This window comes from Homo sapiens, chromosome 15 (genome assembly GCF_000001405.40).
Source record: "Homo sapiens chromosome 15, GRCh38.p14 Primary Assembly".
Taxonomy (NCBI): Eukaryota; Metazoa; Chordata; class Mammalia; order Primates; family Hominidae; genus Homo; species Homo sapiens.
Window position 1 is genome coordinate 72,692,686 of NC_000015.10, and position 20,789 is coordinate 72,713,474.

At 39.3% G+C, this 20,789-nt stretch overlaps 1 protein-coding gene across 10 annotated transcripts in view, besides 1 other annotated feature; it reads left to right on the plus strand.

Annotated features, from left to right (window-relative positions):
• The window catches only part of BBS4 (Bardet-Biedl syndrome 4), a 52,267-nt gene that overhangs the window by 6,479 nt on the left and 24,999 nt on the right, over positions 1 to 20,789 (plus strand). For 4 of the 10 annotated variants that reach the window (NR_045566.2, XM_017022450.2, NM_033028.5 and 1 more), the window contains exons 2-4: positions 2,492 to 2,543; positions 17,015 to 17,094; positions 19,559 to 19,622. Coding sequence is in view for 4 of the 10 variants with exons in the window: in XM_017022450.2 (XP_016877939.1) it covers positions 2,492 to 2,543; positions 17,015 to 17,094; positions 19,559 to 19,622 (196 nt within the window). In the remaining 6 variants the exon portion in view is untranslated. Of the gene's footprint in view, positions 1 to 2,491; positions 2,544 to 11,738; positions 11,797 to 17,014; positions 17,095 to 19,558; positions 19,623 to 20,789 lie in introns of all 10 variants that reach the window. The other 6 variants (NM_001252678.2, XM_047432912.1, XM_017022454.2 and 3 more) reach the window with 2 other exon arrangements.
• Positions 13,699 to 13,899: a silencer, noted in NCBI's record as "peak2381 fragment used in MPRA reporter construct". NCBI's record gives its function as "represses an SCP1 promoter by STARR-seq MPRAs in K562 erythroleukemia cells {active_cell/tissue: K562}" and the evidence as "EXISTENCE:reporter gene assay evidence [ECO:0000049][PMID:32103011]".

Genomic DNA, 20,789 nt, shown 5'->3' on the forward strand with positions numbered 1-20,789 from the left:
CTGGGCTTAAGAGATCCTCCCACCTCAGCCTTCTGAGTAGCTAGGACTAAGGGCACCTGCCACTATGCCTGGCTAATTTCTAAAGTTTTTTTTATAGAGGCAGAGTCTCGCTGTTTTGCCCAAGCTGTTCTCAAATTTCTAGGCTCGTGTGATCCTCCTGCCTCAGCCTCCCAAAGTGCTGGGATTATAGGTGTGAGCCACCACACCTGGCTGATCTATCTGTCTTAAACTGGAGAATTGCATTTTTTTCTACCTCCTTTCTTTTTTTTAAAAAAACTGAATTTCCATCTGTTACCCCTCCCTTTCTGCTCCTCTTATTTCATGCCTTGGAAGTTATACTTTGCCTTCCTTTAATGAGTACCAAAGAAATTAAAAAATACATGTTTACTGTAAGTCCAGGCCTAAATGTTGCTACTACAGGGACCATCAAATGCTTTACTACCATCTATTGCCATCTGCAAATGTATGCCATTGTTGTTTAGTTTTGTAGTTCTTAATGTATTTTAATTAAACACCACAAATTATGCTTTTTGTTTGTTTTATTCAGTCAGTAGATGCTTAGAATACTTGCTTATTTTACCAATTCCTTTGCTTATTCCACTCCTTTGTTCTGGGATTATTTTTCTTTTTCCTAATATATTTTCATTAAAAGTTTATTTGGTGAGAATCTAAAAACTCTCAAATTCTGAAAGTTTTAAAAATTTGCCTTTGTTGTTGAAAATTAGTTTTGATGGGTGAGAGAATCTAGATCAGGTGTTAGCAAACCTTTTTTTGTAAAGGGCCAGATAGTAAATATTGTGGGCTTTGTGGGCCATAGAGTCTCTCTGACAACTACTCAGCAATGCTGTTGTAGGACAAAAGCAACCATAGACATTATGTAAACATGAGTGTGGGTATGTTCTCACAAATTTTGTTTATAGACACTGAAATTTGACTCAATTTTCATGTGTTAAAAATTATTATTTTTTGAATTTTTTTAACCATATAAAAATGTAAAAATCATTCGTAGCTTGTAGACCAAATAAACAGGATGGATTTGACCTGTGGGCCATAGTTTGCTGACCTCTGGTCTAAATTAACATTCATTTTACTTAGTACCTGACACTGGAGTAATTATTCTTATGATGTCTTATTGTGATATTGTCTTCCATTTTTAATTGTTGAAGAGCCAGCTGTCAGTCTTTTTTGTTTTTCTTTTTCTTCTTCTTTTTTTTTTGAAATGGAGTTTTGCTCTTATCGCCCAAGCTGGAGTGCAGTGGTGTGATCTTGGCCCACTGCAACCTCTGCCTTCTGGGTTCAAGCGATTTTCCTGCCTCAGCCTCCCAAGTAGCTGGGATTACAGGTGCCTGCCACCACACCCAGCTAATTTTTGTATTTTTAGTAGAGATGGGGCTTCACCATGTTGGCCAGGCTGGTGTTGAACTCCTAACCTCAGGTGATCCACCTGCCTTGGCCTCCCAAAGTGCTGCAATTACAGGCATGAGGCACGGCGTCTGGCCTTTCTTTCCTTTTTTTTTTTTTTTGAGACGTAGTCTTGCTCTGTTGCCCAGGCCGGGGGGCGATGGTACGATCTTGGCTCATTGCAACCTCTGCTTCCCAAGTTCAAGCCATTCTCCTGCCTCAGCCTCCCAAGTAGCTGGGACTATAGGCACGTGCCACCATGCCGAGCTAATTTTTGTATATTTAGTAGAGACGGGGTTTCACCATGTTGTCCAGGCTGGTCTTGAACTCCTGACCTCAAGTGATCCTCTCGCCTTGGCCTCTCAAATAACTGTCCTTTCTTTGTTGGTAATCTGGTGATATGTTTTCTTGTTTGGCTGCTTTTAAGAGCTGCTTCTTGTCTCTGGTGCAGTTCGCTATGATGTATCTAAGTATGTATTTATTTTCATTTAACCTGGTCAGGATTTGTTGAGTATCCAGAAACTAAGGATTGGTGTTTCTCATTACATCTGGAAAAATTTGAGCCATTATTTTTGCTTATATTGTGGTATGTCATAGGAAGTTGAGAAAAGAAAAATTCATTTGATGGTTTTCTATGAGGTTATAGTGGAAAATAACTATCTCCCTTTTAGAATTGAGTGCTAGACAGTTTCTGTGTAGATGATCTCATAAGCTTCCTTTTATCAAACAGCGATCACTTTTTTGGTTTGGCTGCTGAGAAGTATGGCATCAAGTATAATACTCATATGAGGTGTTTAAGAACTGAGTATATTTCTTATGCACATTTTACTATATACTATAATTATACATTAAAAATGCACATTGTAAATATTATAAATATGTGTTATACATTGTTAATAGTTTGGATAGCAAAAGTATGACTTGACATTTGTTTTTTAAACCATATTTAAAGTAACTCTATCACAATATGGATTTAATGGATTAATTGCATAATTGGTGAGCTACTGATTATTCTTGTTATTTGGATGCTTCTTTAAGTTAGCAAGTTTATATTGTGGTGCTTCAATATAGACTACTTATTTCATTTCAGAGAACTCAATTTCCTGTATCTACTGAGTCTCAAAAACCCCGGCAGAAAAAAGGTCTGTATGCAGTTTCATGGTATGTGTATGTTTGCACAGACAGATTTCTCTTTTATTTATTTATTTATTTTTTTTTTTGGAGGCAGAGTCTCACTGTCACCCAGGCTGGAGTGCAGTAGCACAATCTTGGCTCACTGCAACCTTTGCCTCTGGGGCTCAAGCAATTCTCCTGCCTCAGCCTCCCGAGTAGCTGGGATTACAGGTGCACGCCACCACACCTGGCTAACTTTTGTGTTTTAGTAGAGATGAGGTTTCACTGTGTTTGCCAGGCTGGTCTCGAACTCCTGACCTCAGGTGATCTGCCCACCTTGGCCTCCCAAAGTGTTGGGATTACAGGCGTGAGCCGCCACGCCTGGCCAGATTTCTCTCTCTTGTTGATTCTTTTATCTATTCTATATTATTTCAAAATGAGTGTTGGGAAAAGAAGTAATAGTCTAAATGTTCTGTCACATCTAGCTTTTATTTAATAGAGTTATTAGATATTAGGAGGTTGGTTTGACCTGGAAATTATTTAAATGGGGTTTGATTATTATGTAAGTGTGTACTAATTTTCTGCTTCTGGAAAAACCACTTTGTGAAGTTCCAGGTATCTTTTTGCTTTGTTGGTTTCTAGTTTAATTCTATTGTGGGTAGAGAACATTCTTTATATGGTTTGTTTTATGGCCCACAATGTGGCCTGTGTTGGTGCATGTCCCATGTACACTTGGAAATAATGTGTATTCTGCTCTTGTAGGATGTAGCATTCTGTAAATGTCAATTAGGTCAAGTTGGTTGATAGTGTTCTGTATATACTTACAATTACAGATATTCATATTCTTACTGATGTAGTTACTGATTGGAAGGGTGATAGAAGAGTGTTGAAGTGTGCAAATGTAATTGTGGATTTGTTTCTACTTTCAGTTCTATCAATTTTTGATTTGTGTATTTTGAAGATCTGTTGTTGGATGCATATACATTTAGGATTGTCTGATTTCTTGGTAAATTGACCCGTTTGTCTTTATATAATATTCCTCTTCAATTTCTGATAATATTCCTTGTTTGAAGTCTACTTTGCCTGATAATATTTTAGTTTTAGTTATTTATTTAGCTATTTTAGTTTTGCTTTGGCCAGTCTTTGAATGGTATCAACATATAATTTTCGTAGAGTAAAATTCCCTTTTTTTAGTACAAATTCTGAGTTTCGACAAATGAAACTAGCCATGTAACCACTAGTAGCACCATAATCAAGTTATAAAAGTTTAATTACTCCCCCAAAAGTCACCTTTACTTTGTAGTAAACCACTTCTTCCATTCCCAATTGCGGGCAGCCATTAATCTGTTTCTTTCTTCCTAGTTTTGCCTTTCTTGGAATGCCAAATAAATGGAATCATACATTATTATTATTTTGAGAGAGAGGGTCTCGCTCTGTCACCCAAGCTAGAGTGCAGTGGTGTGATTATAGCTCACTGCAACCTGAAACTCCTGGGTTCAAATGGTTTTCCCCAGTAGCTGGGTCTACAGGTGCATGCCGCCATGCCTGGCTAATTTTTATGTATTTTTTTTGTAGAAATGGGGGTCTGGCTCTGTTGCCCAGGCTGGTTTTGAACTCCTGGCTTCAAGTGATACTCCATCTTCGGCCTCCTGAAGTACTGGCATTACAGGCATGAGCTATTGCACCTGGGTTATGTAAATTTTTCAGTGGCTTTTAAACCTCATATAATGTTTGTTTGTTGGTTTGTTTTTGAGGCGGAGGCTCGCTCTGTCACCCAGGCTGGAGTGCAGTGGTGCAGTCTCAGCTCACTGCAACCTCCACCTCCTGGGTTCAAGTGATTCTGCTGTCTCAGCCTCCCAAGTAGCTGGGATTATCGGCATGAACCACCATGCCTGGCTAATTTTTTTATTTTTAGTACAGATGGGGTTTCACCACGTTGGCCAGGCTGGTCTTGAACTCCTGACCTCAAGTGATCCACCTGCTTTGGCCCCCCAAAGTACTGGGATTACAGGCATGAGCCACTGCATCCAGCCCAATATAGGGAGGTATTAAGAAAAGAGAAGAACTATCATCCTTAAGTATTAACGGGACTTTAACAAATTAAAAAAGTAGTACTTTGAATAAAAAGCTGTCACATTTTACTGTGAAATCCTTAGACTTTTTTTATACCTCTAGTTCAGGTTTTTTCAGCTTTGGCATGAATGATATTTTGAGCAAGATAAATCTTTGTTGGAGTTGTCCTGTATATTGTAGGATGGTTAACAACATCCCTGGCTTCTACCTGGTAGATGACAGTAGCACTTAATTGTAACAACCAAAAGTGTCTCCAGATGTTGCCAGTTATTCCTTCTGGGGCAAAATTGTTCCCACTTGAGAACCACTGCTCTGGTTAAGTAGTGTAATACTTGGAAATAGAAGGCAGAAAGTTGGTAAGTGCATAAAGAATTCACACAGAAGTTGGATTAGCAAGCTGAGAGACGTTATTTGAACAAGTAGCAATTGGAGGCATTTTGACTGAGAATGGATGTTGTGCCTCTCCCTCACTCTTTCCTCCTCAGCTTGAGAGGTCCATATTCTCTCAAAGTTTGACTCTTTAGTTTTGAGGGTGATGACTGCCAACTGTGGAAGGGATAAACAGATTTCTGTTTGGTATTTTTGTCCAAATATATCAGGACTTTTTCAAGAACAGGCAATGAAATTATTGATCAGAACTACTTGGTGGTTCTGAGAAAATAATATGCTACATGAGGCTACTGAAGTCCTCTTCCTTTTGCCCCATGATGTAACCTTAGGTGACTTTCTTCTGGCTTTCAGTTGAAGATCTTACCCATCATTGAGGTGAGCGAACTGATTTACTGCTTGAGTCTATTTTCTTCCTTAAAGGAGTCTTCATTGAAAACTTTACCCATTTTGGGGTGGCCATAGCTGAGGATGAGTTTTGTCCACAACCTGAGACAACATACTCACTATGTAAAAAACCTGATCTCAGCTTGATATCTGGTTTTAGACTAATTGTTTAATAGAATAATTTATTATTGTAAAATATATATAAAATTTACCATTTTTAAGTGTGTAAGTCAGTGGCATTAAGTACATTTACAAAGTTGTGCAGCCATCACCACTGTCCATTTCTAGAAGTGTTTCATCATTCCAAACAGAAACACTGTACCCATTAAACAATAAATCTCCACATCCCCTTGCCTCCCCAGATCCTGGTAATCTCCATTCTATTTTCTGTATCTATGAATTTGACTATTCTAGGTTTTTCATGTAAGGTGAATCATACAATATTTGCCCTTTTCTGCCTGGCTTATTCCACTCAGCATTTTCAAGATTCATTCATGTTGTAGCATGTGTCAGAATTTCATTCCTTTTTAAGGCTGAATAATATTCTAGTGTATGTATATATCACATTTTGTTTATCTGTCTGTTGATGGGCATTTGGGTTGTTTTCCTTAGAGTCTTTATATGTCAGTAATTCTTAAAGAATTTAAAAGTTGTAGAAACTAGGAATTTTGTAGATATTCTAGAAATATGTCATTTCCTGTACTGTATATAATAATTTATTCTACAGACTAATTACTGTGTATATATTTGGTTCTCAGACGTGATTTTGATTTTGTAGATGCTGTACATGCTCTTCACTTCATTAATCTTTTCCTTTTGCTAATTTTGGTTCTTGTGTATACAGAATTATAGAGTTACAAGGTAATTTAGTTGTTACCTAATTCACCCTAAAGTCTACATGAAACCACTGTCACAGTCTTTGATAAGTAGTTACCAAATCTCACTATTTCTACTGTGATAGTGAATGACTTTCATTGATTAGCTTTCTGAAAGAATAGTTTATCTTACTTGTCTTGGTATCCTCACCTCTGAGTCTATTTGTCTATTGTAATCTGGCTTTTGCTCCACCGCTCCACTGATTAAATGGATGAGCTAAGCATTTTTTTTTTTTTCCACTGCAACCTCTGCCTCCCGGGTTCAAGTGATTCTCTTGCCTCAGCTTCCCGTGTAGCTGGTATTACAGGTGCCCACCACCATGCCTGGCTAATTTTTTGTCTTTTTAGTAGAAACGGGGTTTCACTATGTTGGCCAGACTGGTATCGAGCTCCTGACTTCATGATCCACCCCAAAGCCTCCCAAAGTTCTGGGATTACAGGTGTGAGCCACCGTGCTTGGCCCAATTCTGTTTAATTTTTGAGGAACAATGTTAACTTCTAATTTAAATGGAAGGTAGTATATATCTAATTTTTCCCTATTATTTTTAATTTCAATGCTAGTAAATCTTTAAATCTGAAATACACACTCTTGAATTTTGACAGATATGTATACTCATGTACATATTTATATTCCTGTAATCATCAGATCAAATTAAACATTTTTATCACTTAGAAAGTTTCCTCATGCCTTTTTCCAGTAAGTCTTCTGCTTCACTTCGCCAGATGCAACCACCATTCTGATTTCTGCCTGTATAAATTGATTTTGAACTTTCCTATAATAAGTTGTGCTTGAACTTCACACAAAGGGAGCCATACAGTATCTACTATTTAGCTTTTGGCAGCTTTCATACAACATGTTGTTTTGGAGATTCATCCGTGTTGTTATATGTATCAGTAGTTCTTTTATTTAAAAAATGCTGTTTAGTATTCAGTTGCATGAATATACCACCGTTTGTCCATTCTCCTGTTAATGAGTATTTGCAATGTTTCCAGTTTTTGAGTACTGTGAAAGTTTCTATGAACATTTATTTATTTAGAGATGGAGTCTCGCTTTATTGCCCAGGCTGGAGTGCAGTGGTGCGATCTCAGCTCACTGTAACCTCCGCCTCCTGGGTTCAATCGATTCTTCAGCTTCAGCCTCCTGAGTAGCTGGGACTATAGGTGTGTGCCACCATGCCCGGCTAATTTTTCTATTTTTAGTAGAGACGGGATTTCACCATATTAGCCAGGCTGGTCTTGAATTCCTTACCTCATGATCCGCCCGCCTCAGCCTCCCATAGTGCTGGGATTACAGGCATGAGCCACTGCACCCGGCCTGAACATTTATTTACTGGTTTTTTTTGTGTGTGCATGTGTGTGCAAGTTTTCACTTGAATAAGTGCCTAGGGAGTGGAATTGCTTGGTCATATGTGAACTGTTTGTTTTAACTTTATAATAAACTGCCGAAGTATTTTCCAAAGTGGTTGTACAGTTTTACCCGACCGCCAGCAACGTGTGAGGATTCTGTTTGGCTACATTCTTGCCAACATTTGTTACTATCAGTCTTTTTCATATTAGACTTGCTGGTGGGTATATTGTGTTTTATTGTGATTTTAATTTGCATTACACTAATGACTAGTGATGTTGAACACCTTTTCATATACTTATTGGTCATATCTTTTGTGTAGTGTCTGCTCAAGTTTTTTGCCTATTTTTAAATTTCTTTTTTCCTTATTATTGATTTGTGAGACTTCTTAATATATTCTGAATGTACGTCCTTTGTCTGTTATATATGTGGTAAGTATTTCCCCCCAGCCTGTGTTTTACTACTTTCATTTTATTAAGGTATCTTTTGATGATCAAAAGTTTTAATTTTGATGAAGGCCAATTTACTATTATTTTTCTTTTGTTATTAATGCCTTCTCTGTCTTGTCTAGGAAATCTTGATCCTTACCCCAGACTGAGTTGTGTGTCCTCTCCCTTTTCTGCATTAATATTGCAGAAATTAATTTTTTGGTTTTAGAAAATGTCTAATTTGGCTCAATCAGTAATTTTTGATATCTTTCTATTGAAATATATATACAGAAAAGTACATACATAAATCATAATTGTACTGTGCAGTGAATTTTTACAAAGTAAACATATCCATGTAATCACCATCTAGATTAAGGTATAGAATATTATCAGTGCCCTCCAGGCCGCCTCCTTATTCCCTACCAGTCATTAACCACCCCTCCCAAAGGTAGTAACTTGTATTTAACTTCTATCTTCTACATCAGTTTTGCCTGCTTTTGAATTTAATGTAAATGGAATCATGCAGTGTGTACTTTTTAATATCTAACTTCGTTGCTCAGAATTATGTTTGTGAGATTCATTTATGTTGTTGCATGTAGTAGTGGTTGGTTGTTTTCTTCCTTGTTATATATATTCCATTGTGGGGCTCTACCTAAGTCTATTCATTTTATACTTGATGAACATTTGGGATATTTTTATTGTGATGTATTATGAATAATGCCACCATGAAGAGTCTTGTACATGTTTTTTGGTACACATACATACTTAGGAGTAGGATTTTCAGGGTCACCAGGAAGGATATATTTAGGCTCAGTGAATACTAGCAAGCAATTTTTAAAATGCGGTCAATATAATCCCCATGTGTAAAATAAAGGTGTACAAACGCACACACACACACTTGCTCATATGCTTATATGTGCATAGAAATTCCTTGAAAATACTCAAGAAATGCTTCACCTCTGGTAAGGGATAGGAATGGAATGGGTCTTTTGTTTAGTATCCTATGTGCCCTTTGAATTTTGTTTTACTGTAAGTATGTATTTTTAAGAAAACCAACTAGTTATTTTTAAAAATCATTTGAAAGTCTTCCTACTTTGATATATGAAAAACACTGGTTTTAAAAAAAATAATAGAAAAGCTTTAAAATCATTATTATTTTTTTGAGACGGAGTCTTGCTCTGTCGCCAGGCTGGAGTGCAGTGGTGCGATTTCCGCTCACCACAACCTTTGCCTCCCGGATTCAAGCAATTCTCCTGCCTCAGCCTCCCAAGTAGCTGGGACTACAGGTGTGTGCCACCAGGCCCAGCTAATTTTTTTTTTTTTTTGTATTTTTAATAGAGATGGGGTTTCACCATGTTGGCCAGGATGGTCTCAATCTCTTGACCTCGTGATCTGCCTGCCTCGGCCTCCCAAAGTGCTGGGATTACAGGCGTGAGCCACTGTGCCTGGCCGCTTTAAAATCATTAATGTTGCGTTGCTCAGTTATGTCTAATTGACAGCCCAAACATTTACATTGTAATATTAGAAAATCCTTTATGATTGGGCAGAAACTTGGTTTAATGTGTCACCTTGGAGACCTGGGTTATAGTCCTGCCTCTTCCATTAACTACTTGTTGAATGTGGACAATTTACTTAACCTTTAGGGCCTTAATTTCCTCCTTTATAATGTGAGAATGTTCTCTGAATTGCATAACTCACTGGCCTTACGTGACTATTCAGTGGAATAATAAGAGAGAAAAACTTTGAGATACATGCACACACACCCTTAAGAAGGATATAATTGTTAAATTTTGCTTTGAGGAAATAAAATAATCTAAGCTATAAAGTAAAACCATAATTAGCTAATCTTTTATATGACTTTTTTCTTCCTCATTTCAAGCTAATGAGAAGCAAACAAACTGGATAGCAGCAATATAATTAAAAAATTATAGGCCAGCTTCTAGCATGTATTCTTGAGTCAATACTGACTCAGCCCAGTCTCTTCCTCTTCCTTCATCATCATTTATGTACCTGAACAGAGTAGATGTTTCTCTTGATCCTGGGCCTGTTCGCCCTCAGATCCATTCCTTGCCTTCTCTTCTCTTTTTGGTATAGTGAGGAGCTGACTCTTTTTTTTTTTTTTTTTTTTTTTGAGACGGAGTCTCGCTCTGTCGCCCAGGCTGGAGTGCAGTGGCGGGATCTCGGCTCACTGCAAGCTCCGCCTTCCGGGTTCACGCCATTCTCCTGCCTCAGCCTCCCAAGTAGCTGGGACTACAGGCGCCCGCCACTACGCCCGGCTAATTTTTTTTGTATTTTTAGTAGAGACGGGGTTTCACCTTTTTTTAGCCGGGATGGTCTCGATCTCCTGACCTCGTGATCCGCCCGCCTCGGCCTCCCAAAGTGCTGGGATTACAGGCGTGAGCCATCGCGCCCGGCCGAGGAGCTGACTCTTGCAGCCTCCTTTTCTTCCCAGGCTTCCGTGTCAGCAGTTTCTGGCTGGATTAGCAAGTGGAGGAACTGGCAGGAGATTAGAAGGCAAGAGGAAAGAGAAGACAGGGCTTCCCTCCCCGACCTTCAGGCCTCAGAGTCGTAGTGGTTTTTTGCTCATGCAGACTTCTGATTTGTCTCACCATTCCCTGTTGGGCCTCTCATTTCTTCCATTGCCTGTTCTCTGCATTAAAGTCCTTGTGTTTCAAATCCTCAAGTGGCTTTTTGTTAGGCTTTGACTGATACAGGGCTCAAAATGATAGTAATGAAAATGTCTTACATTTATATTCTTTTCAAGATTTGTTATCTCTTTTGATACCCCAAATATCCTATTGAGGTAGAAAAGTGTTATAATTCCTGTTTGGCATGAGGAAATTAACATTTATTGAATGACTATTTTCAGATTCTTTGGATTTTCGGGTGAAAATTTTAGGGGGGATAAATGGAGGCCCAGAGAAGTGAAATAACTTGCCCTAGGCCCCATAGAAGGCTGGTATTGAATCAAGATTGAAATTCTGCATGTGAAAACTTTTACGTGCTACATGTCTGCTAGTCCTGGAAGAAATCCTTTCTTTGATGAGTATTTTTTTTAAAGGCTTTACTTGCAATATATTTACAAAAGCCTTAGTTATTTAGTAAATTTTTCAATGAAAAATCTGAACCATAATAATTTTCTGCTTAGTACTTATATAGCTAGCATACTATCCCTAGCATTAATCAAAGTGTCATGTAAAGGTTTGATTTTTGAGCCTAAGCAGAATTTGAAATTCTTCTAAGAGAATTTAGCACCTAGGGCAAACTACAGGGGAGAATTCTTGAGGTGTCATGTTTATTCACTTCTGGAATTGTTTAAAATATGTCAGGTGCATCCTTAAAGGGAGAAAGAAGGGGGAAGAGATGTTACAAAAGAGTAGAATGGGGCAAGAGAAGTGGCAAGGGAGTATTGTTGCTAGGTTGCCAGCCTTCTGCCCCCACTGTCTTGGTGATGGTGGAGGGGTAGTGTGGCAGCTGGGATATGAATGAGGTCTTTTTTATAACTCACTAAAAGCCATTACCTTGTCTTCATCTCGTCAGCTGGCTACCTGACCTCTGTGGTAACATAGGCTCCTGAAATGTAGCATTGGAGATGATCACTGTGCTTTATTGCAAAATAGGGGAGACTCTGCTCTGCATTTACATGCTTATGTTTTGTGGAGGATCTTTCAACTAGTAATTCTCATAATACCTGTGAAAGCATATAAGAACCAGTATCTCCATTTTTAGGGGGAGTTGGAGTGAGCAATGATTTGGAATACCAGAAATTCAACTTATATATTTACAGGTAAAATTCTAATTGTAAATTCAGGATTCATAGATTCTAGGGATTTCTGAGGTATCCAGAATTCCTTCATCTTTGATGATAAGTAGATAATAATGGTAATAAAAATAACAGCAACAGGCCCAGCACAGTGACCCACACCTGTAATCCCAGCACTTTGGGAGACTGAGGCAGGTGGATCACTTGAGGTCAGGAGTTCAAGACCAGCCTGGCGGACATGGCAAAACCCCATTTCTACTAAAAATGCAAAAATTAGCTGAGCATAGTGGCATGTGCCTGTAATCCCAGCTACTCAGTAGGCTGAGTCATAAGAATCATTTGAATCTGGGAGGTGGAGATTGCGGTGAGCTAAGATCGCGCCACTGCACTCCGGCCTTTATGACAGAACTCGACTCCATCTCAAAAAAACAAAACAAAACAAAACAAAACAAAAACAAAATGCAAAAAAACAGCAACAATAATAGGTAACATTTCTTTAAGGCCTACTATGTACCAGGCACTATTTGAACCTCTTTATATATTAGGTAATACGATACAACTCTATGAGAATGAGTATTTTATTTCCTGACCCTTCTATTTAAAAGTAAAACCCCCCACCCGGCACTGTTTCTCTTTCCTGCTTTATTTTTCTCCATAGAAAAATATCACTCATAAGTGTAACATACTTTATTATCTGTCCTGTGTGGTAGTAGCCCCTGCCCTCAATTATAAACTCCATGAAATCAGGGAGTCAGTTTTGTTCACTGCTGTATTCCCAGTGCCTAGAACAGTGCCTGGAATCATGGTAGGTACCCAGCGAATATTGGTTGAATGAATGAGTCTTGGTTTTACAGATGAGGAAACTATAAATTTCCCAGGTCACACATTTGGTAATAGGACAGTTGTGTACACTGAAATGTTCTCTAAAATATTTGATGGAACGAAAATTAGCTTTTGGACAGCTACATCTCCAAGAGTGTGAAATGACCTTCAGCACTGGATTTGGTGGATTTTCCTTTTTCTAATCCCTAGAGTTCCATTTAATGAGCGTTTGGGTTCTTGAGCTACCTTACAAATTGAACACTTTTTTCTCCAGCTTTCACTCAAGAAACACAAAACATGGCTTGTCCTTTTTTTTTTTTTTTTTTTTTTTGAGACTGGGTCTCACTCTGTCACCCAGGTTGGAGTGCAGTGCACAATCATGGTTCATTGCAACCTCTGCCTCCCAGGCTCAAGCAATCCTCCTAACTCAGCCTCCTGAGTAGCTGGGACTACAGGCTTGTGCCTCCACTCCTGGCTAATTTTTTTGTATTTTTTGTAGAGATGGGGTTTGTCCAGGCTGGCCTTGAAGTGCTGGACTCAAGTGATCCGTCCACCTGGGCCTCCCAAAGTGCTGGGGTTACAGGCGTAAACCACTATAGCTAGCCCTGATTGTCTTTTATTGTGAGATTTTAATAACAGCTAAGACTTGAAAATTAACATTTTATAAATTTTCTTTTAGACTACTTAGTGATATACTAAGTATCTAAGGTTTGTAATACTTAGTATAAACTCAAAAGGGTTCAGTGCCTCATTCTCTTTTACTCTTTCCCTTTAGTAGATAGGTGACAGAGGACTGGGTCATGCAGTTGAGACTTGGTCCAAGATGACTTAGTAAGCTACTTGTCCCAGAACTATTTATTTATTTACTTATTTTTGAGATGGAGTCTCGCTCTGTCGCCCAGGCTGGAGTGCAGTGGTGTGATCTTGGCTCACTGCAACCCCCGTCTCCTGGGTTCAAGCGATTCTTTTGCCTCAGCCTCCCGAGTAGCTGGGATTATAGGTGCCCGCCACCACTCCCGGCTAATTTTTTGTATTTTTAGTAGAGACTTGGTTTCATTGTGTTAGCCAGGATTGTTTCGATCTCCTGACCTCATGATCCACCTGCGTGGACCTCCCAAAATGCTAGGATTACAGGCGTGAGTCACCACCCCCGGACCCTGGAACTATTTATGACGGTGCACTTTATGCACTTAACACACTCACATGTCTTTAAGCTTGGTGACTCGTGTGGCTTTTTCGAAGGAGATTTGATTCTGGAAGTGGTTAAGTAGGATGTGAATGGCTAAGGTCTGGTCATTGGTGAAGCCTAGGGGAAGAAAAGAAAGGAAACACAAGTCTTAGAAGAATTTCAGATCGGCCCCAACGACTAGAAGGGTGGTTCTACTAAGAAAATGTGTGTAGTCAGAAAATGAAGAGTCAGTTGCTTAAAATTTTACTTTTTTTCTTGTTCCTGGCATGTAAAGTCATATCCATACTTTCTGTTATAATTTCTTCTTACAAATTCCATTGATAATCCCTATTCTTGGATAGCAATGAGCAGCATTACTTCTTTTTTATTTTTTTAAAAAAATTAAATTTTTTGTTGAAATGAGGGTCCTGCTGTATTGCCCAGGCTGGTATCAAATTTCTGGGCTCAACTGATCCTCCTGCCTCAGCCTCCCAAAGCGCTGGGATTACAGTTGTGAGCCAGTGTGTCTGGTTGTACCTTTTAATTTTTGTGTTCAGGCAACATTAACTCTGAGTCACAGTAAGCTTTTTTTTTCTTCCTGTCATATTATGGACATAGAAGTTTTTTGGTTTTCTTTAGATTGTTTCTCCTTAGGTTGCAGAACATCAAGAAATGGATTACAGTCATTTTCCTCTCTTCCCCATGCTCTTCCCTTTCTTTTCCTTTTTTCTTTTCTTTTTTTTTTTTTGGAGACAGAATCTTGCTCTTTGGCCGAGGCTGGAGTACAGTGTCATGATCTTGGCTCACTGTAACCTCCCCGCACCAGGTTCAAGTGATTCTGGTGCCCAAGCCTCCCTAGTAGCTGGGATGTCAGGATGCGCCACCACACCCTGCTAATTTTTGTATTTTTTTGTAGAGATGGGGTTTCACCATGTTGTCCAGGCTGACCTCAAACTCCTGGACTCAAATGATCTGCCCTCCTCGGTCTCCCAAAGTGCTGGGATTATAGGCATGAGCCACCACATCTGGCCTCTTTTCCATTTTTAAAAAGGACTGTCTCCAACATATTAAAATTCACAAAAAATAATATAAACACACATGTACTCACTGGCTAGGCTTAATAAAAAACATTTAGTCATGTTTACTTTAAAGCTTTTTATTTTTTTGAGAAATAGGCATTAAAGAGTTGAAGTCTCCTTTCTGTCTTTTCATAATTCTGTTCTTCCCTCTTCCTTCCTTGAGATCTTCACTATTCTTGGGTTAATTTGGATCTTTCTACTCCTTGTTACCACAGAAAAGTAATTCTTAATGAATTTGACCATATTTTAAACTTCTGATTTCAGTGGGCAGGTAACTCATTTTATGGTTTCTGTATTGTGAGCCATTTTCAATGACTCAACTAGATTTTTTTCATCGTTGACTTCTCATTTCTGGGCAACAGCATAATGTTCTCATTTGAGCTATTTCTAAAGATTGTGTTTAACTATTTAAAATATTTGTGGTACTCTGATCATCAGATGTGATTTTTTTTTTTTTTTGAGACGGAGTCTCACTCTTTCACCAGGCTGGAGTGCAGTGGCGCGATCTCGGCTCACTGTAACCTCCTTCTCCCAGGTTCAAGTGATGCTCCTGCCTCAGCCTCCCAAGTAGCTGGGACTATTGGTGCGGGTTACCACACCCGGCTAATTTTTTGTATTTTTAGTAGAGACAGGGTTTCACCATGTTTGCTAGGATGGTCTCGATCTTCTGACCTCGTGATCTGCCTGCCTTGGCCTCCCAAAGTGCTGGGATTACAGGCGTGAGCCACTGCACCTGGCCAGAAGTGATATTAACTATCTTATATGTATATTTCTGTTGCGGGAAGTCAGGGGCCCCAAACGGAGGGACCGGCTGGAGCTGTGGCAGAGGAACGTAAATTGTGATTATTTCATGGACACTTACCAGTTCCCAAATAATATTCTTATAATTTCTTACACCTGTCTTTAATCTCTTAATCCTGTTATCTTCGTAAGCTGAGGATGTACCTCACCTCAGGGCCACTATGATAATTGTGTTAACTGTACAAATTGATTGTAAAACGTGTGTTTGAACAATATGAAATCAGTGCACCTTGAACAGAATAACAGCAATTTTAGGGAACAAGGGAAGACAACCATAAGGTCTGACTGCCTGTGGGGTTGGGCAAAATAGAGCCATATTTTTCTTCTTTGCAGAGAGCCTATAAACGGACATGCAAGTAGGGAAGATATCGCTAAATTCTTTTCCTAGCAAGGAATTTTAATAATACTCTGGAGAAGGAATGCATTCCTTGGAGGAGGTCTATAGGGCATGTCTGTCTTATGCTGTTGACATAAGGACTGAAATACACCCTGGTCTCCTGCAGTACCCTCAGGCTTATTAGGGTGGGGAAAAAACCCCACCCTGGTAAATTTGAGGTCAGATCAGTTTTCTGCTCTCAAACCCTGTTTTCTGTTGTTTAAGATGTTTATCAAGACAATTTGTGCACCGCTGAACATAGACTCTTATCAGTAATTTTGCTTTTGCCTTTTGCCTTGTGATCTTTGTTGGACCCTTATCAGGAGTTTCTGATTTTGCCCTTGTCCTGTTTCCTCAGAAGCATGTGATCTTTGTTCTCCTTTTTGCCCTTTGAGGCATGTGATCTTTGTGACCTACTCACTGTTCTTAGGCCCCCTCCCCTTTTGAAATCCTTAATAAACACTTGCTTATTTTGCAGCTCAGGTGGGCATCACGGTCCTACCGATATATGTGAGGCCCAGCTGTGAAATTCCTCTCTTCGTACTCTTATTTCTTAGCCGGCTGACGCTTATAGAAAATAGAAAGAACCTACATTGAAATATTGGGGGCAGGTTCCCCTGATATATTTCCTTAGTGACATTCCTGCAATCTCCTTTAGAAAGTCTTTCTGTTCACCTTCTATAACCAGGGAAGGAGAGATTGAGAAGAGACGAAGGATGATTTTATGTTTTTCAGTCCCAGTCATTATTTGATGAGAAACTGATATTACAAGCTTTAAAAACTCAAGATATGTATTCAACATGTAGTAGTAGAACAAGTATCTTAGTTTAATAGTCTATAAATTTTTGATGCACTATAATATATTATTGTAGTCAGTAGCATCAAAATTTTAATGTGATATTGCAGTATGTTTATGGTTAGTTTAGACATGAGGACAGTGCTAAAGGAGAAAATCTAATGACTGTGTTGTTTGTTTTGTCAAAATATGCTGCCTAGCTCCAGAGTTTCCTATTTTGGAGAAGCAGAACTGGTTGATTCATCTTCATTATATCCGGAAAGATTATGAAGCCTGCAAGGTAAGAGATTGCCATAATAATAAAAATGAGAGGCAGGATGTTGGGTAGGCAACTAACAGTGCCTGCTAAACAGAGTGTGGCAGTTTATATCTCAGTGATAAAACATGAATTCCTTCTTCCCCATACTTCATACACTGGTTATCTTTTGCTATGGTAGTGATGTTTAACATACAACCTCAATATTTCAGTGGCCCCCAACAAACAAATATTAATTGCTCATGGGCTTTCAGATCAGCTGTGGGTTGGCTGGGTTTGACTGCAGGCTGTGGGTCAGGTTTAGGTGTGTTCCATGTGTCTTCTCATGTCAAGAGCAAACAACTCTCTTGGACATGTTGGTCTTCTGGTGGAGGCAGATGTTCAACTCAGCATATTAACTTTTTTATCTTTGGATAGATGAAAAATGGTATTTTGTCGAGTTTTTTTTTTTTTTTTTTTTTTTTTGAGATGGAGTCTCACTGTCACCTAGGCTGGAGTGCAGTGGCATGATCTTGGCTCATTGCAGCCTTTGTCTCCCAGGTTCAAGCAATTCTTCTGCCTCAGCCTCCCCAGTAGATGGGACTACAGATGAGTGTCACCATGCCCAGCTAATTTTTTGTATTTTTAGTAGAGATGGGGTTTCACCATATTGGCCAGGCTGGTCTCGAACTCCTGACCTTGTGATCTGCCCGCCTTGGCCTCCCAAAGTGCTGGGATTACAGGCGTGAGCCACCGTGCCCAGCCCTGAGTTTTATTTTTTAATTTCTCTCTTACTGCAAGGTTGATCATCATGTGTATATTTAAAAACCATTTGTATTTCCCTTTCTCTGTATCTTTGGTGACATACCATATGTGTTACAAACTTGCAGGCAGACAGTGGTAGTACTAACATGCAGAATGTATCCTTGGTGTCATCTTTTTTGGTATCCAGAGCTTTGTGACCCATCTAAGGTTTTTAATTTATACCCATGGCATTTATACCTATGGCAATGCACAGAACTAATTCATACTGGTATGACAAAGATTCATACCAGTTTTTTTTTTTCTTTTTTTAAGTGGAGTTTTGCTCTTATTGCCCAGGCTAGAGTGCAGTGGCGCAATCTCGGCTCACTGCAACCCCCGCTTTCCAGTTTCAAGCAATTCTCCTGCCTCAGCCTCCCAAGTCGCTGGGATTACAGGTGCCCGCCACCATGCCCAGCTAATTTTTTTTTTTTTTTTTGTATTTCTAGTAGAGGTGGAGTTTCACCATGTTGGTCAGGCTGGTCTCAAACTGCTGACCTCGTAATCCACCTGCCTCAGCCTCCCAAAGTGCTGGGATTACAGGCGTGAGCCACCGCACCCGGCCCATACCAGTTTTTTTTGACACCGCTGATCCGAAGGCAGATACCAGTATGAATCTTTTTTTTTTTGAGATGGAGTTTTGCTCTTGTCGCCAAGGGTGGAGTGCAATGGCGTGACCTCGGCTCACCACAACCTCCGCCTCCTGGGTTCAAGCGATTGTCCTGCCTCAGCCTCCTGAGTAGCTGGGATTACAGGCATGTGCCACCACGCCTGGCTAATTTTTTGTGTTTTTAGTAGAGATGGGGTTTTTCCATGTTGGTCAGGCTGGTCTCAAACTCCCGACCTCAGGTGATCTGCCCGCTTCGGCCACCCAAAGTGCTGGGATTACATGCGTGAGCCACCGCGCCTGGCCACCAGTATGAATCTTGAAAGGTTCTCTTTCTTTTTCATCTGTGATAATACTTGGAAATCTTATCACACTTTTCTTAGCTTGCCTAGTTAGATTTTAGACAGGGGTTGGCAAACTTTTTCTGTAATGGGCCAACAATATTTTAGGGTTTGTAGGCCACATACAGTCTCTACATCATATTTGTTATCTTATTTTTTATAACCCTTTAGAAATAAAAAAACCACTGTTAGCTTGAGAGCTGTACAAAAATATACAGGGCCTGTAAGCCCTGTAGTTTGCAAATCCCTGTTCTAGAAGAAGTAATCACAACAAGGGAGTTGAAATTTTAAGAAACTGAATGAACTAATACTTTACTAGGCATTATTAATACTCTAGGTTTTTTTACATATGATTCTTGTCCACGTCTGCTTTTTCATTACTATTTGTTTTCTTTTTTTTTTCAGACAGAGTCTCACTCTGTTGCCCAGGCTGGAGTGCAGTGGCGCTATCTTGGCTCACTGCAACCTCCGCCTCCTGGGTTCAAGCGATTCTCCTTCCTCAGCCTCCTGAGTAGCTGGGATTACAGACACGCACCACTACTGCCCGGCTAATTTTTGTATTTTTAGTAGAGATGGGGTTTCACCATATTGGTTAGGCTGATCTTGAACTCCTGACCTCATAATCTGCCTGCCTTGGTCTCCCAAAGTTTTGGGATTACAAGCATGAGCCACCGCACCTGGCCTGTCCATGTCCACTTTTTCTTAAAGACACCTGAAGAAACTTAACCACTGCTCAGAAGCATTTTTCTCCCTCTTTCAGGCTGTTATCAAAGAACAGCTTCAAGAGACTCAGGGATTGTGTGAATATGCTATCTATGTCCAAGGTAAGACACATACTTCTTGTCTTCTTGCTAGAGAAATACACTTTTCCTAGGTTCTTGAAAAAGATCAGGCAATTGAAGAAACAAGTTCAAGTACAGTCATGCACCACTTAACAATGGAGATATGTTCTAAGAAATGTGTTGTTAGGCAATTTTGTCATTGTGTGAACATTACATGGAGTGTACTTACACAAACATAGATGGATGATATAGTGTACTATACACATGATATAGTCTGTTGCTCCCAGGCTACAAACCTGTATGAGCAGGTGTTATACCGAATACTGTAGGCAGTTGTAAAACAGTGGTAAGTGTATCTAAACATAGAAAAGGTACTGTAAAAATATGGTATAAAAGATAAAAAATAGTATACCTGTATAGAGTACTTACCATGGATGGACTGGAAGTTGCTCTGGGTGAGTTAGTGGTGAGTGAATGTGAAGGTCTAGGACATTATTGTATACTAATGTAGACTTTATGTTGTATACTAATGTAGACTTTATAAACACTGTACACTTAGCCTACACTAAATTTATTTAAAAATATTTTTTCTACAATGATAAATTAACTTTAGCTTACTATAACTTTTTACTTTATAAACTTTAAAACTTTTTGGCTCTTTTGGGGTAATACTTAAAACACACAACAACATTGTACATTTGTACAAAAATAGTTTCTTTAGGTCCTTATTCTATAAGCTTTTTTCTTTTTCTTTCTTTTTTTTTTTTGGTAGAGAGACAGAGTCTCACTTTGTTGCCCAGGCTGGTCTTGAACTCCTGGGCTCAAGCAGTTCTCCTGCCTCAGCCTCTCAAAGTGCTGGGATTATAGGCATGAGCTACGACACCTGGCCCTTTATGCTATTCTTAAAACTTTTTATTTTTTTACTTTTAAACTTTTTTGTTAAAAACTACGATACACACACTACTACAGTGGTGGTACTAACATGTGGAATGTGTCCTTGCTGTCTTTTTTGGCATTCAGAGCTTTGTGACCCATCTAAGGTCTTTGTGACACACACACACACACACACACACACACACACACACGCACACGCACGCACGCACTGGTCTAGGCCTACACTGAGTCAAGATTATAAATATCACTGTCTTCCACCTCCTTATGGAAGGTCTTCAGTGGCAATAACATACATGGAGCTGTCATCTCCTATAA